This window comes from Homo sapiens, chromosome X, assembly GCF_000001405.40.
Source record: "Homo sapiens chromosome X, GRCh38.p14 Primary Assembly".
Classification (NCBI taxonomy): domain Eukaryota; kingdom Metazoa; phylum Chordata; class Mammalia; order Primates; family Hominidae; genus Homo; species Homo sapiens.
In genome coordinates this window covers 140,773,459-140,791,610 of record NC_000023.11, presented here as the reverse complement: position 1 = coordinate 140,791,610, position 18,152 = coordinate 140,773,459, and the positions used below count along the sequence as shown (strand labels likewise).

The window sequence follows — 18,152 nt, the reverse complement described above, 5'->3', positions numbered from 1 at the left end:
AAATAAGAGTTTCCCAACAAGTGTACCTCAGCACACTGGTGTCCTGTGAATGGGTTGTATGTGTACTGTAATCTTTATCTCCTAAGACGTTGGGTCAACCAGGCAGATCCTGTGAAGCCAAGTTGCCTTTGCCCTGAGCAATCTTGTCTATTTACCCCAGGGTGCCATGATGTGAAAGAGGTAATAGGGCACTTCTATAGGCATTTGTTAATATAGAGTTTTATATCCTAAATAAAATAATGACATACCAAAACACCATTACCAAATCAGTTTTATTCCAGGAATCTAAGAATAGCTCAACATTATGTAATTAACTACATTAATGGATTAGAGAGAATAACCATATCATCACCTGGATATCAGCTTGTCAGATGCCAGAAGAGGCATCTTGATAACATTCTTTATCCATCCCTGATAAAATTATAAGTCAATCAAGAACAGAAGGGCATTTCCATAACTTGAAAAGGGGCATTTATCAGAAACAATGGCAATTATAATAGTTAAACAATGAGGCATTTCTATTAGAGCCAAAAACAGAAGGTTGCCTGCTCTTTATTAATCAACATCAATCTGCATTGTCCTGGAAGTTATAAAGTCTTTACCAATGTGCTAAAAGAAAAAAAAATAGATACAAACATTAGCAAGGAAAAGACAAATGTTTTATTATTTACAAATGGCATGATTGTGTATCTAAGAAATCAAGATAATCAAATGAAAATAAAAACTACTGTTAGAGCTAGGAATAGAGTTCAATATGATACCTGGATACAAGATAAATATTAAATAGCTTTTCTATGCACTAATGATAATGAATTTTTAAAATGCAATATCATTCACGTAAGAGGAATTAAAACTATAAACAAATAAGCCTAACAATTCTTTTAATATCTAAATGGAGACTACAGTAAATTTAAATAAATTGAGACAGATCCCTCGTTACTAGATGCAAAACCCACTATCATAAAGATGGCAGTTCTTGACATGTTACTCAAAGGTCTGAAGCATTTCCAAGGGATTAATTTTTTATGGGCATTCATGAGTTAATTTTAAAATTAATCTGGAAAAATGGGATGCACAAGAATAGCGAAAAATTCTGAAAAAAATAATAATGTAGGGGAAGCAGTCCCATCATATGTCAAAACATAATGCTACAGTAATTAAAGCAGTGAGGTACTAGCTCAGTACTAGAGAAATATTATCAGTTGAACAGAAAAGAAACAAAAAAATATACCCATATAGTTCATGATAAAAAGAGAATTCCAAATCAGTATGGAAATAATTCAATTGAATAAGTAAGTTGAAAAAAACTGACTCTCTCTTCTGAAAAAAAATAAGCTTAGATTCCTACTTTGTACCATAGAAACACTTATAAAAGAAAAGCCAATTCTACATAGAGTACTAAGCAATAAGAACGTACAAAATATTGGAAGAACCAGGCACACTGGCCCACACCTGTAGTCCCAGCTACTCGGGAGGCTGAGGCAAGAAGATCTCTTTGGCCCAAGAGTTCAAGACCAGTGTGGACAACACAGAAAGACGATATCTCAAAAAATATATTTTTTGATTAGAAGAATATATAGGAGAATACTTTTTTAATCTTGGGAGTGCAGAAGCCTATCTAAATATGAAACAAAAACAAGAAACTATAAAAGATTAAAATGTTTGTCTATTTACATAATTAAATCTTCTTTATAGTAAATAGCACCATGAATAAATTTAAAAGACAAATGATAAACATTTGCAATATACACCAGACAAAAGGATATCAGCTCCAATATCCAGAGATCTACAAATTAATAATAAAAAAAGACAAATGACACAACAAAAGAATAGGTAAAGGATACAAACAAGCAATTTCTTAAAGAAGAAATAAAAATAGCTAGTAAATGTATGAAAAGTTGCTTAACTTTACAAATTATTAGAGAAAAATAATTTAAAGGAATGAGATTAGATTTTCCATCCAAAATACTGACAAAAGTCAAAAATAATAGCATTCAGCATGCCAGGAGGGCAATTTAGCTCAAACATGTTGATCCAGAAATTTTATTTCTCAGGTACTAGCTCTTTAAAATCCTTGTAAAAGTGCAAAAAAATTGTAAAGATGCTTTATATATCATTATCTATATTAGCAACAAACTGTTAACAACCAAAAGATCATGTGGAAAGAATTAAATAAATAATAGATTGTAAAGATGCTTTATATAGCATTATCTATAATAGCTACAAACTGTTAACAACCTAAAGATCTAATGTGGAAAGAATTGAATAAATAATACAGTACACCCTACTCTGAAATTTCCTGTAGCTGTTTTATAAAATGACTTTCTACAGAGCAGGAAAAAAGCAAGTTGTAGAATATATGTATAGGATGTTAATTTAATGTTAATAATATTATTATTCTATTATTATAACATTTAATGTTAATAATAACATATCAACACTTTTCTTCTCACTCCGTTACGTATTTTCATTTTCTAAAACACATGAGAATACATTCAAGTAAATAAAAAAAGTATGAGGAAGGTAACAAAACAAAGAGTCATGGCTATCTCTGGGAGATAGATAGGATTAGGAGAAGGATATTTTCACTTTTTACTTTATACACTACTGCTTTTTTTTACTTTTTACTATAAACATATATTACTTTTATAACAAAAAATAAGCCCACCCTATAAAACACACACACACACACACACATATATATATATACACATATATGTGTATATATGTGTATATATATGGAATATGCATATATGGAATATACATATATACATATATGTGTATATATGGAATATAGATACATATATGTGTATATATGGAATATACATATATACACATATATGTGTATATATGGAAACAGAAAAAAAGTGATTTGAAATCTGACTACACAGAAGCAACTATTGTTAACATATCAACACTTTTCTTTTCACTCCCTGTTATGTATTTTCAACATATTTTGGATCATGCGCTATGTAATTTTGAGCTTGTTTTTCAATAAATATAATATTGTATTTTCCTATATCAATAAAAACACATTAACATAAAGTTTAAATATATTTTAATTTTGAAAATAACACATGTTCAAAATAGAACATTTCGAGAGCAAAGAACCAAAAGAGAATAAAAATCCCATGTAGTCTTACTACCCACAGATAAATTACTTTAAAAAATAATGAAAGACAAATGTACAGAAAGGGATTAATAATCCTTAGATTGTGCACAGTGTCTCATTGATTCATGCAAGGCCCTCTTTTATTTTTACTCATTAACTTGCCTTTTTATTTAATGTTAATAATAATCATAAAATTATTAAATAATAATGGGATTTCAATTACATAATGACACCAACCACTACCCAACACACGAGTACTAGAATGTTAACCATAATATGAATTCATGTACATTGTCCTCCCATATTCTGACCCTATTTCCTCAACCCCAGTGACCATCATCTTCAATTTTTTTTTTGCTTTTTAATAAATTATTTGTATGCTATGTGTATGTAGCCCTAAATAATATAGTGCTTAGTTTTACCTGTTTTTGAATAATATAAAAAGGATATCCTACTATATGTAGTCTTTTGAGACTTGATATCTTAATATTCTAGAAGTAAAATCTACCCATATTGTTATGTGTAGCTGTAGAACATTCATATAATGACTATATAATATTTTACGTGAAATATACCATGATTTATCCATTTTCTTTTTGGGACTTTTACTACTAACAACATTTTAGTGTGTATCTTCTAGTTATTTTCCCGAAGGTATTTAGTTTTCCTTCTATGAAACATGAATATTATACGTATTTTTTGTGACCTATTTCTCTCACTGATGATACCTTATGAACATATTCCCATTTTGGTAAATATTCTTCCATGATATAAATTTAAATGACCACACAGTATTCCATTAGATAGTTACAATATAATTTTCTAACCACCCCAACTGTTAGACACATGATTGCTTGTAATTTTTTTGCTGTGATGAACATTATGATGCACATGGTCTTGTTTGGCTCAGCAACTCTCCTTTTAGAAATTTATCCTAAGTAATACCCAAACACATCTGCACACAAATATGTACAGGAACACCACGTAGAATGACACAGTTTGTGTTCTTCACACCTTACATAAAGTATGTGCTGATCACAGAAGTTTTTATAATACAAGAAAATTGGAAGGAACTTAATGCTCACCAATAGGAGATGGAGTAAGTAAATTATATATTAAAATTATTACATAGCTGCACAGTTACTGACATAGAAAGTTGTTCACAATTTATTAAGTGTAAGAAAGAAATAGGTTAAATTGCAGTATGATTACATTTTGTACAAGAAAATATGCTAGTAAAAGTGCCTACAAGAGCATACACGAAAATCCTTACAGTGATTATCTCTAGATACTGAAATTATTTGAGAATTTGTTTTTTTTCACTTTGCTAACATATATTTTGAAGTGTTTCCAACAGTAAAGCTTGATTCCATGTACAAGAAAAAAGATGAATAGTTTTGTGCACAATTGTTTAAATATTTTTCCTGAATAGAAAATACCTGTACATTGTAAGAACTTAAAAGAATATATAGAAGAAAATAAAATCATACATAATGCAACCCATCCAGTAATAATTAGTTTACAGTCCCCAATACATTTACTTCTAGTCATTTGTCACTGATTATATATTTTAAAATAGTTGCCATCACACTTTATGTAACCTTGTATGCTGATGATTTTTCACTTAACTTATAAAATGAATATGCCATAGCATTTTAATGGAAGAATATTCCATCATAGGTACATGGCACATTTACTTAATCATTCCCTGAATGTTAGACTAAGGTTTTTCTGTTTTTCACTATACCAAATAACTATGTGAGGAGTATCTTTGTGTGTGAATTATCCACATTTTAGATAATTTCCTTGGACAGATTCCTTGAAGTGGAATATACTAAACCAAAAAGTACATTTTTATATCCCTTGATATAAATTTTCAAATAGTACTTCATATATATTTTAAGGCAAAATGAGTAGCAGGGAAAATAAAGAGGTCAAAACAGCTGGGTCCCATGGCTATTGTTAGCACTCAGATTAGTAAAACTGATATACAAAAAATCTGTTTTATTTAAGTCACAAGGCTATATTGTGAGAACCAAATGACAATATAGATTCTTCAGAGTCACAATAAATATTACTTCTTTAGGAATGCTTTCCTTGATTTTCCAGACTCTCAGTTACTTTTTCTTCATGGCCTTAACAATTGATAAATAATTTTCCAATTATCTGTATGTTGTTTCCCACAGACGATTTTAAGCTTTATCAAAACATGCCTGGCATACAGTTAGCGCTCAATAAATATTTGTTGAATGAATGAGGTGACAGCACTTTGTAAAGTATAAATCATTAGACATTCAGAAGGTATTTCTATTTTAATTGGCATTATCATTGTTCCTTTTTGTTATCACATAGAGGATTTTAAATCTTTAGAGAGTCCCTGCCTAACTGTAAAAATTTAATTATGTGGTTTTCATGCTTTTCATGCCAGCCAGAAGCATGGGTAGCAACATTGCTGAAGGCACCTGGTGGGAGCTGAGACTTAGAGAACCAACTACTTGGTTCTCCAGATCAGCATGCTGGGATTTAAGGAGTTGCAGCTACCATTAGTCGGATACAAGGCAGTGGCCAGGAACCCAGGAGGTTGCGATATTTGAAGCAGGTAGATGCTGGAGGTTAGAAACAAACTAATGGTAAGTGCTCCACATAGTAAGGTGCAAACTGGACAAAAGTCAGTAAAAGGGGATTCAAATAGATAGAAGAGTTAAATTCCAAGCACCAGTACTCGAAGCATGGAGCTATGAATATGATTCTGAAGCAAAGGGTAATTGAACTCAGTGCTTCCTTATATTCTTCCTGCCAAAACTGAAAATGGTATCAGAAAGTGTTTGCACCTACTTCCATATACAGGTCCAAGGGAATGGTAGTAGCTGGTTGGGGAATAAAAGCTGTGCATACAAACAGACTCTGGCAGTGACAGGATCAAGCGAGACCATTTGTATACGGGATTGTATAATATTCTACACAAAATGTGGAAGCAATCAACCTTTGGATCACATCATTCTATCATGATTTTAAACAGCAGATATTATAGCATAGTGGTTACAATCATGGACTCTCACAACAGGCTAGCCGGGTTTAAATCTGGCTCCATTATTTAGTAGTTGTGTCCTGTGGACAAAATTTACTTCACCTCTGTGTGCCAGTTTCCTCATCTGTAAAATAGGGATAATGATGGTACCTAGCTTCAATGGGTTGTTGTGAAGATTAAATAGATTAAATGAGTTAATGCATGTAAGGATCTGAGAACAGTGCCTGGATGTAGCAAATGCTATGTTAAGTGTTGTTGTTGTTATTATTATTATTATTATTATTATATTATTATTATTCTTTGGTCATGTAAGACCAATGATAAAAATTAATATCATTTAAAATGGACAAATAATACTCTACATGTTAACTTTACCTAAAATACCAGTCTTAAACAGGAATTTTTCTCATTAAATAAAAATTTCACTTAGACCTAAACATAGTAAACTGTATAAAAACCGTAAGCACTAGTGAAGTAGTAAAATTTATTGCAGCAGTCCTATCTGTTTATTCTGCAGAAGTTTTATTATGGACATTACTTTTAAAAGTTGTAGGGATTAAACACACATTTCCTAATAGTAAAAAACACAAACTGCAGTACTGTTGGTTCATAAGATCTGGTCTATAAGGAGGAATGTCCCATTAAATGTTTTTGAAGCTAATTCAACTAGAAGCAGAAATAGTTGAGTTGGAAGATTTTTCTGTAGAGTGATTTTAACATGGGAAGGCTCAGACAGGGGAAGCCTAGATTTGAAAAGGCCTGGACCTGGGGAAAGGCTGGAAGATCTGGACTATAGAACATGTTAGAATACCTGGATATTGCAGACACTGGAAGACCTGAATGTCAGAAGATCAGCACACTGGAGACGTTGGAAGACATGGATATTGAGCCAGTTGATGGAAGACTGGGTAGTTGTTGGAAGACATGAAGATGCTGGAAGACACAGAGATGCTGGAAGACGTGGAGATGTTGGAAGACGAGCAGATGCTGGAAGCCCTGGAGATGCTGGAAGACCTGGAGATATAGGAAGACATGGATTTGTTGGAAGACGTAGCTTAGTTGGAAGACATATATTTTCTGGAAGACGTGGATTTTCTGGAAGACATGGCTTGGTTGGAAGACGTGGATTTTCTGGAAGACGTACCTTTGTTGGAAGACATACCTTTGTTGGAAGACGTACCTTTGTTGGAAGACGTACCTTTGTTGGAAGACACAAGTAGGCTGGAAGACATTAATTTGATGGAAGACATGGCTTTGTTGGAAGACGTGGATTTGCTGGAAGACACGGATTTCCTGGAAGACCTGGATTTTTCGGAAGCTATGGATTTGAGGGAAGACAAGGATTTTCTGGAAGACATGGATAGTCTGGAAGACATGGCTTTGTTGGAAGACGTGGACTTGCTGGAAGACACGGATTTCCTGGAAGACCCGGATTTTTTGGAAGCTATAGATTTAAGGGAAGACAAGGATTTTCTGGAAGACATGGATAGTCTGGAAGACCTGGAGGCCATTGGAAGATGTGGATTTTCTGGAAGACATGGCTTTTTTGGAAGACGTAGATTTTCAGGAAGACCCAAATTATCCGGAAGACTTGGATTGTTGGGAAGACGTGGATTTTCTGGAAGACTGGGAGGTTACTGGAAGACATGGATTTTCTGGAAGACATGGATTTTCTGGAAGACGTGGATCTTCAGGAAGACATATATTGGCTGGAAGACCTGGATTTTTTCCGGAAGATGTGGATTGACTGGAAGACCTGGATTTGGTGGAAGACGTAGATTTTTCTGGAAGACACTGACTGACTGGAAGACCTGGATTTCTTTCTGGAAGACACTGATTGACTGGAAGACCTGGATTTCTTTCTGGAAGACACTGATTGACTGGAAGATCTAGATTTTTCTGGAAGAACTAGATTTACTGGAAGACTTGGATTTGGTGGAAGACACAGATTTTTCTGGAAGACATGGATTAGCTGGAAGATCTGTATTTGATGGAAGACCTTGAAATTATTGGAAGACATGGATTTCCTGGAAGACGTGGATTTTCCTGGAAGATCTGGATTTGGTGGAAGACCAGTAATTGCTGGAAGACTGGATTTGCTGGAAGACTTGATTTACTGGAAGACTTGGAGCTTCTTGGAAGACATGGATTGTCCGGAAGACATGGATTGTCTGGAAGATGTGGATTTTCTGGAAGCTCAGGATTATCTGGAAGACCTTGAGATTATTGGAAGACTTGAAGTCGCTGGAAGACCCGGAGTTGTTGGAAGACCTTGACACAGGTGCCATCGGAAACCCTGGACATTGGAAACATTGTAAGCACAGGATATTGGAGACATTGCAAGCCTTGGATTTTGAAGACATTGGTTACTCTGGACATTGATATTTCTGGAGGCCCTGAACATTGGGATATTGAATATTGGAAGTCATAGACACTGAAATCTCTGGAAATTAGAGATATTGTAAGTCCTGTACCTTGGAACTCCTAAATACTGGCAGATATAAACAACAGCAGATGTAGACATTTATAAATCCTAAAATGAGAAGCCCTGGATATTGGGAGACATTGGTAAGCATGGATATTGACATATTTATGTCAAAAAGACAGTTTGGAAGAATTAAATTTTAAAGATGCTGGATGTCAAGAATACTGGCAGCCTGGACAATATGAGACCAGGATATTAAGAGGTCTATTCATTCAGACATTGAGGATATTGATGTACCTGAAAGTTCTTGCAGGTATTTAAAGACTTGGGCATTGGAGGAATTGGCGATAAAAATACACTGTAAAACTAGAAAGTAGGAGACATTTAAAAATGTAAAAACTGAATGATGTAAGTGCTGGAAGACATTGAAGAATCTAGACTTAAACACTATGAAATACATAGCCTCTAGAAGACCTGTATATAGGAGACATTGGAGGATTAGGACCATGGAAGACTTGTAATTTAGAACTCTGGATTCTGAAAGACAAGACCTGGACTTTGAAGATGGGTTGTTGGAGATATTAGAAGACCTAAATTTTTAATGACTTGAATACTGGGAAGTTTAGAAAACAAGGGCATTGGAGATGCTGCAGGACAGGGACTGGAATGCACGGATGTTATAATATTGGGAAGATCTGGTAATTAAAGATGTTGGAAGCTGTGGAGCTTAGAAGACTTGAGTTAGAGAAACTGAAGAACAGAAAGGCTTAATCTTAATGGTATTGGAAAGTCATGCTGAAAGATAGTAGCAATATTCAAAGAGTTGTGTATTAGGGCCTAGATATTAAATTAAAAGACATCATGAGACTACTCTTACAGTCTTTAATACTATTTCATCTCTTCTGCTAAAAAGCAAAACACAAGGAAATAGCATTCTAGGAAGGTGAGAAAGAGAAGGCAGGGAAATTCAAGAAAAAGCAAATAGTTTGAATGGGTTGGAAGCTATCTTCATAGTCTCAATGAACTGGCCTTATTGGTTAACAAGATGGGAATGGGAAATTATCAAAGAATAAGCAGTATCTAGGTCGAGAGAACTGCTTGGCTTTAGATCAGGGATCAACAAACATTTTCTGTAAAGGTTCAGAAGTAAATATTTAAGGCTTTACAGGTTACATTGTCTCTGTTGCAACTACTCAACTCTCCCATTGTAGTGCAGTCACAGACAGTAAGTAAATGAATGGGGATGGCTGTGCTGCATTAAAACTTTACTTAAAAAAAATGGTTGGGCTGCATTGGCCCAAGGGCCTTAGTTTGCTATGCCCTGCTCTAACGCCAAATCAAGGATATGGTAAAGTTAAGTACATTCCAGGCTAGCATTCACATATGAGAACAAGCAGAGAACAAGAGAACTTGTTCTCACATAGAGAACAAGCAGAGAAAATTGAAGCCGAATGGTAAATAACAATATCATGTGCTGTAATGATAGGAGATGAAACTGGCAAGAACCTAAGAATTTAGATCTCTAGGCAATTGTTTGGACAATTGCCCAAACAGGGAGCCTTGTATTCAGAGCCAAAATTAAATGGGTTGCATTCAGGGGCCCAACCAACAGGGCTGAGGATCAATGAGGATGTCCTAATTTAATTAAATAGGCTGGAAGCTTAAGTAAATTAGAGAAGAAACCCACCCCTACAGACTGGACATATATGGAGGGGAACAGGAAAAAGATTATAGCTTGGTAGGCTCTTCTCAGGCACCCTGGCTTCAGGTAATACATGTAATTTCTTAAGTGACAAAGACCTTAAGTGACAAGCTTCAGGGATTAGACTTGAGCTATGCGCTGAAGGCCCTTAGTACTTAGATAAAGCTGAGGAAGTCAGGAACTATCACATGTATTACATGAAAGAGAACACTGGCATACAAAACTGGGAAAGTACACTGGAACTAGGCCATGCATGATTTAAAGATCAAGTAGTGGAATATATAGACAATGGGTGGTTATTAAACGTCTATGAACCAGGAGGTATTGGAATCAGAACCGTACATAAGGAAAGCCAGTTGAGCAGCAAGGTGCTGAATAGCAAAGACTACTAGATACGTACAGTAGAACACCTAATACCCCAAGCTAAAACACTTAAAGGGTTGGGATGTGAGGCTAATACAGTTATGCAGGTAAGTGGTAGTGGGGGCTAGAATTAAGGCAGTGACGTTTCTGTCACTCAGCAGACACAGCATCAGTTATGATGAATACTTAGGATTCTGAATAACACTATTTTAAACTTCTTGAATGCCATCATAGAATACATGAAATTCAAAGAAGTTCAGAAGCCAGCTGTGAGGAATTTTCCTTGCCTAGTAAGATTACGTAGACTTACACAAATTCTCTCAAAAGGCAGCTGAGCTAATATTTTGGTGGTCAAGCAAAGCAGGCCCTATTTAGCTTTATCTTTACCCCTATATCACAGTTACCTAATTTTCTTTAAAGTGGAAACAAGTGGATGGATTATTTTCTAGAGAATAAGAACTCATCCATGTCCAAAACTGAGATTACCTCTAGTCACTACACAAATAAATGTCAGTAATGATAACCACATTATAGCATAAAGAATCACTGCAGATCAGGGAGTAACTTACAGACAAGGAAATTATTGTTTCATGTATCCCTCATCAGCAAACAAAAAGAAATACTAAAACTCATTTTTAAACTTCCTTCTCTCATCTTAAAACCATCATGCATACCTTAATTTGAGGGAAATTAAGTATCAAAGTGTGAAAATTTTGCAAAGATAGGCGCAAACTCTCATATTCTGGTTGCATAATGCTTATTCATGTTATAATAATAATAATAATCACAACAATTTATTGAGCGCTTACTATGTGCCAGGCACTGTACTAAGCATTTCATATAATCTTATAGCAATCCTATAATGCAGGTATTTTGACTGCATTTTACAGATCAGAAACTGAAGTCTGGAATGGTTAAGAAATATGCCCACAGTCACACAGCTGGTAATTGGTAGAGGCAGGATTTGAAAGCAGATCCGTGTGATTACAAAACCTTGCCTCCGTGCTGATTCTCCACAACCCAATAACCCAGGGGTTGTACTGCCAGGACTAAGCACCACTCACCCAAAAAGAGGGTGCCCCCAGCCCAGAGCAGACAAGAAGTCAGTGGCAAAGATCTCACTTTAAGTCCCATTTTCTTATCATTGTGACACTCACCATACCACTGCCAAGTAGTCAAGAACCAATTCTAGGTGTTTGCAAAGATGAGTTAATTATATCTTTGGCTTTACGTAGCAATGCAAGAAAGATGAAATGCAGTGTCTCAAACACAATAGATTCATACTTAATTTCTCAATATTTGTTATTTATGCTAATGATACTAATTCTTTCATCTATTTTCTATTTGATTTTATACTTCCCAGTAATATATACACTCTGTTCATAGTACATCATATTTCTGAATTCTTAAGCAACCATAACACACTGACATCAAAGGCCATTAAAAGGTAATAATACTATGTAAAGTTCAGTAATCAATGCATTTCACATCATAAACCTTGTTCACGCAAGCTTTTAGACTATATATACTGTCAAAACCCTTTATTAGCATTCGGGTGGTAGAAGCTATGTAATCCAAATGTGTAATTTAAAGAGCTTTCTCTGCATTTTGAACTTAAAAGATTTTAAACAAAAAGTTCTTTTTAAATGTAATACAAGTTTCCTAACATATTCTTCACATCTCATCAGCCTGGGCTGCCCTTTCTCCCCACCCCTCCTTTTTTTTCTTTTTGCCACAGTGGTTAAACATGTCTATAAAGAACGAAATTTCCATGCACTTTGTAATACTGAGCTCAAGAATTTACCCAAGCCATTTGACAACAGGTTCTCTCCACTCAAACTGTGCATAAAACATACTAAAAGAAACCTCAGCTTTGATATTTGGGGGGCTTTTCTTAAAGAAGAAAAAAACACCCATTTACATGGCAGTGTTGTCATTAACTTCTATTTCTACCTTTAGCGTATATCAAACTTTCTCATCCTCCTACAAGTTTTGCTGACCTGTTCAACTCAACCACAGTAAAATGTTCTTTGACTCTCATCAGTGATACTTCTTAGGTTGTTTTAACTGGATATTGTCTTAAACAATAATTAGATTTATCTCAATATTTTATTTCAAATGACCTGGGCCCTAGATAAATGTTTCCATACATCAAGCCAAAGTCAAAGTATTTCTATGACAACTAAGATCATATAATAGTCAATTTCTCATTTTATTATTTATATTAAGAGTTCCTAGTTGATGCAATTCAATTTAACCTTTTATTTCTCTAATTCTGGTCAAAATAAATAAAAAAATGGCCAAGGTAGTAATCTCAGTAAATGGTAAAATTATCAAAACAGTTCTTTTTTTTTTTTTTTTTCTTTGTTTGTTTGTTTAGACAGAGTCTCATCCTGTTGCCAGGCTGGAGTGCAGTGGTGCGATCTTGGCTCACTGCAACCTCCGCCTCCCAGGTTTAAGTGATTCTCCTGCCTCAGACTTACCAGTAGCTGGAGTTACAGGCATGCACCACCACGCCCAGCTAATTTTTATATTTTTAGTAGAGATGGGGTTTCACCATGTTGGCCAGGATGGTCTCGATCTCTTGACCTCGTGATCTGCCCGCCTCGGCCTCCCAAAGTGCTGGGATTACAGGCGTGAGCCACCACGCCCAGCCAAAACAGCTCATTCTTTAAAGTCATATAGAACCACTGATTATACTGAGGAAAAGATCATTGATTTAAAAATATTTACCTGTAGATGTGACTAAGAAGAAGCAAATGACCTATGAAAACTTAAAGCATTCACCATACAGGGTTCTCTGTTTTGGTTTATGGAAACAATAGATACAAAATATTAGCATTTTACACACAATATCTGTGCATTATTTTTCCCAAAACCTATAACCCAGAGGGGAAATAAAAACAATTATCATAGAAAAAGAAACTCCCAGTAGGTACTGCCTCTCTTTCCTTTCAGAGAGTTGGTGTTTATATTTGCCTTGTTTCTATGGCATTATGCCCTACTTCCTTTTCTGGGAGGGACTAAAACATGGTAAAACTTGAACCATGAGCACAATTACACAATGCAATAATAATCCTATTTACTTTGGTCTCTATGAAAAAGTTTAGATATTCTCAAAATCAACCATTGTGGTTGATGCACCTTTCTCTCAAGGTAATGTCAGAGATAGAAAGACTTTAGACACCAAGTGGTCTTATTCTCTCATTTGAAAGACAAAGGCAGGAGTGACTTGAATAAGACCATTCATTGAACTAGTGGCAGAACAAACACTTTGAATCAAGGTTTCCTAGTTCCTGGGCCCACTACCATTTATATTTTCTATCATAATTTTCCCTAGCTTTAGAGCGGCAGTTTGAAAACCATGGCTATATAAAGAAACGCTGAAGGAAATTTTGAAATATACAGATTCTGGCCCTATCCCTGATTCAGCAGGTCTTTGTGCAGTTCCTGGAAATCTATATTTTTCAACGCTTTCTATCATTACTCTGATACACAGTCAGTGTTGAGAACAACTGTGGTTTAGATCAAGAGCGTAAGCTCTCCTGGAACTGTGGCGAATCCTAGATCCACAGCATCCTACAATGGGTTTTCAACCCTCATCTTCCTCATTTGAGCGTGTTGAAGAATATCTGTAGTCTCAACCATAACCATGCAAGCAAGCCCTTTTTAAAATTATTATTAAGTTCCAAGATACATGTGCAGAACGTGCAGGTTTGTTACATAGGTATACATGTGCCATGGTGGTTCGCTGCACCCATCAACCCTTCATCTAGGTTTTAAGCCCCGTATGCATTAGGTATTTGTCCTAATGCTCTCCCTCCCCTTGCCCCCCACCCCCCAACAGGCCCCTGTGTGTGTTGTTCCCCTCCCAGTGTCCATGTGTCCTCATTGTTCAACTCCCACTTATGAGTAAGAACATGTGGTGTTTGGTTCTCTGTTCCTGTGTTAGTTTGCTGAGAATGATGGCTTCCAGCTTCATCCATGTACCCACAAAGGGCATGATCTCAATTCATTTTTATGGCTGCAGTATATTCCATGTTGTATATGTGCCACATTTTCTTTATCCAGTCTATCATTGATGGGCATTCGGGTTGGTTCCAAGTCTTTGCTATTGTAAATAGTGCTGCAACAAACATATGTGTGCATGTCTTTATAATAGAATAATCTATAATCTTTTGGGTATATACCTAGTAATGGGATTGCTGGGTCAAATGGTATTTCTGGTTCTAGATCCTTGAGGAATCGCCACACTGTCTTCCACAGTGGTTAAACTAATTTACACTCCCACCGACAGTGTAAAAACGTTCCTATTCTCCACATCCTCTCCGGCATCTATCCTTTCCTGACTTTTTAATAATCGCCATCCTGACTGGCCTAACGCGCGGCGGATGCGGACAGGCCAGCGCGCGACACCCCCGGAGTGGGTGGTCACGCGCGGGCTTGGGTAACGAGGACCCCGGCGGGTGGCGGGAGGAAGGAAGGAAGAGGGACAGCGCCGGACGCGCGGGTCCAACGGCCCCCTGAGCACGCAGGCAGACAAACCCTTGTGTGGAGGGCTCACTTTCAATAGATGGCAACGAGGAATCTGCTCTGCTACTCACGAAACCCTGACCCAGAAACAGGTTGCCTAGGAATGGTTTAGCGCCAGGTTCTTCACGAACGTGTTATGCATGATGGGCGAGGGGGTGGCTGCCTTTCTGGCCGAGGCCAATTTTCCAGGATGAGGGGCTCTCCGCACCGGATCCCAGTCTGGCTCTCATTGTGGTTTTGATTGGCATTTCTCTAATGATCAGTGATGATGAGCTTTTTTTCATGTTTGTTGGCTGCGTAAGTGTCTTCTTTTGAGAAGTGTCTGTTCATATCATTTGCCCACTTTTTGATGGGGTTGTTTTTTCTTGTAAATTTGTTGAAGTTCCTTGCAGATTCTGGATATTAGACCTTTGTCAGATGGGTAGATTGCAAAATTTTTCTCCCATTCTTTTGGTTGCCTGTTCATTCTGATGCTAGTTTCATTTGCTGTGCAGAAGCCCTTTTAAACTTTTTTTTTTCCTTTTCCTTCAAAATATCAAACTCACATATAGTTCACAGATTGAGGAGAAAGTTACTGGACTCCCTCATGCCAAATTTCAACGTTTGAGTGGGCTTGCTTCCTGCTTCCTACAAAACCAAATTCAATTTACTCTCTGATGTCAGTTTTTGACACAGCTGTTTAAAGCATTTTTTTTTCATTACTGTACATACATTTCCTCATTCCAGGTTGTCTTTATGCTTTCTCAAGTTATATAAAGTCTCTTTTTGGCAAGCACATGCCAATGAATTATCTTTCTTCTTTTCTCTATTCAGGTTTTCTGTGCATCATTATCAGATATAATGATGAGGCCAGTGCTGTGAATCCGGCACAAACAGCAATTAAGACAGAAACAACAGCGATGTTATTTGGACTTCCTCTCTATTCCCCAGAATAACTGTCCAACTGAGTTCAAAATGGACATCAGTTGGGAATGTGTAAAGCAGCCAAAAGAACAGGCAGGTTCAGCCTATGCCTTTGCCCAAAATTCTTAGAACAAGATAACAGCGTCGTATCTCTGGCTTTGTGGTTTTTTTTCCTCTGTTAAATCTGCCTGGAAAATTCCAAACATCCAAAATTAAAACAACCATGACAATAACTTTTGTAACACAATTGAATCAAATGAAGTAAATATATGGAATTATGAAAGGAATTTAAAAACAATCTGAGAATGAAGTCTCCATCACCATCAGAGAACAGGAGGTAATAATATCCATTTTTTGGAGGATATTCAATTCTTCAAATCACTGAGGAGGCCAGATATGAGAACAGAAAGAATCTATGAAAATGAACTCTAGCAGCTGTTCCTCCTTGATTAGCTACCAAAGGAAATCTGGAAATTTAACATAAATATACTGCTTTTCAGGATCAGCCAATAGCTAACATATACAATTGCTGGAAAAGAAATTAATTTAACTTATACCAAACTAATCCTTTCTGGTGAGATCGCAAGTTAGGCTTAATCAGAATTAAAACAAATTTCAGGAGTACAAAATCAAATTATCCAGCCAAGTACAGTAGCAGCCCACTCCTTAAATGCTATAGTTGAGTTCCCGAAACTCTCAGAGTACCCATGTTGGAGGAATTTAAGACTTTTTAGGAAAAAATGAGGCAAGGACATGAGTATTATGAAAGCCTAGACAATCAGTTTGTTCACCAAACTAAAACAATAAAATAAATATCATTGATATTTTATATTAACAAGAGTGGATATCAGGCAATTAACTTCCTTTGTGATCTCAAGATGAAGATGATAATGGATCAATGAAAATGCTTGGTCGTAACAATAGTAACAGGGAAAGAATAGAGAAAATTGCATTTCGTCTGAAGAGATGTAAGCTCAGTCTTCTGCTCCTCTTTCATCCCCAGCACACAAATCACCATATCATCAGAGCCATCAGAGTCTGAATCCCAAGGTTTAACTATCTGTGTGCGGCGTTTCTACTTCCTGTTTTCCTGTTTGCAGAACGGGTTTGAATGACATGGCCTAATGTCAACCTCTTCTCCCCTGTCAAGTAAGCAGAGAGAAAATACTTATCGGTGTTTGTTTGGAAGTTTATTACTACTGCTTTATAGGATTGTAAGTAATCATCTAAGCCTTACCTGAAAGTCAATATGTAGCCCACCAAAGGATCTCTTTCTTTTGAATCATTGTGACAATTTCATTTGTGGAGTAGATACTTGAACATTCTTAGAGTTCTGGATGTTAACCTATGCTGGCTTCTTCTATTGCCTTTTGATGTGATCACATCTCCAAAATATTTCTCAACTATCTTTTGAAGGTGAGAGTCTAACAATTCAGTAATGTCACTTAACTCAATGTCTTCAAGGCCTTCACTATTCAAATGGTTTGCAGATGTTACAATATTTTCAATTTCTTCTACCACTGGAAGGAAACCTTCCAAATCAGTCACAACCTCATTCCAAAATTTCTGCCAGACTTCATTAAGTATTGATTGTTTTATTTGTCTCACTGATTCTTCTACACCTGTTAAAGCATTACAAACGGAGAAATGTTGCCAAGCCACTTTCATGGTAAAGTTCTGGTGTCTCTGATAAGATCTTCAGGTAGTCAAAATACATGCAGAGCACAGTACATCGCTAGCACTCTCAGATGCAAGAGTTGAAGGAGTGGAGTCGTACTGGGGGTAATGGAGATGACTTGAACACAAGGAGCAGCATTTATGACTGCATTTTTGTCTGTAGGAGCAGTGTCCAGAATCACAACACTGTGAAGTCAAGATTTTTTTTTCATTTAAATGTTATTTAACCTCAGAACAAAACACTTCAAAGACCAGTTCAAAAAGAGTTTCTCAGTGATCCATATTTCATGGTTTCCCTTCATGTACACAGAAAAGTGTTTCTGGCTTTCTCTTTAAAGAAGGTAACAATTTTGGAATCTGTAAAGCAACATGGGTTTAATCAGAACACACTGGAACAAAGCAGAACTTT

The 18,152-nt window shown here is 36.1% G+C and overlaps 1 long non-coding RNA gene across 7 annotated transcripts in view, besides 1 other annotated feature; it reads right to left on the bottom strand.

Moving 5' to 3' along the window:
- Window positions 1-253: 253 nt before the first annotated feature.
- The window catches only part of LINC00632 (long intergenic non-protein coding RNA 632), an 81,599-nt gene continuing 63,700 nt past the window's right edge, over window positions 254-18,152 (bottom strand). For 3 of the 7 annotated variants that reach the window (NR_173140.2, NR_173139.1, NR_190227.1), the window contains one exon: window positions 4,257-8,436. This is a non-coding gene — a long non-coding RNA (long intergenic non-protein coding RNA 632). Of the gene's footprint in view, window positions 610-4,256; window positions 8,437-18,152 lie in introns of those variants that run through there. The other 4 variants (NR_173144.1, NR_173143.1, NR_173142.1 and 1 more) reach the window with 3 other exon arrangements.
- Window positions 6,945-8,442: a silencer, noted in NCBI's record as "fragment chrX:139865334-139866831 (GRCh37/hg19 assembly coordinates)". NCBI's record gives its function as "represses an EF-1alpha promoter that drives an FKBP-Casp9 reporter gene in an ReSE screen in K562 erythroleukemia cells {active_cell/tissue: K562}" and the evidence as "EXISTENCE:reporter gene assay evidence [ECO:0000049][PMID:32094911]".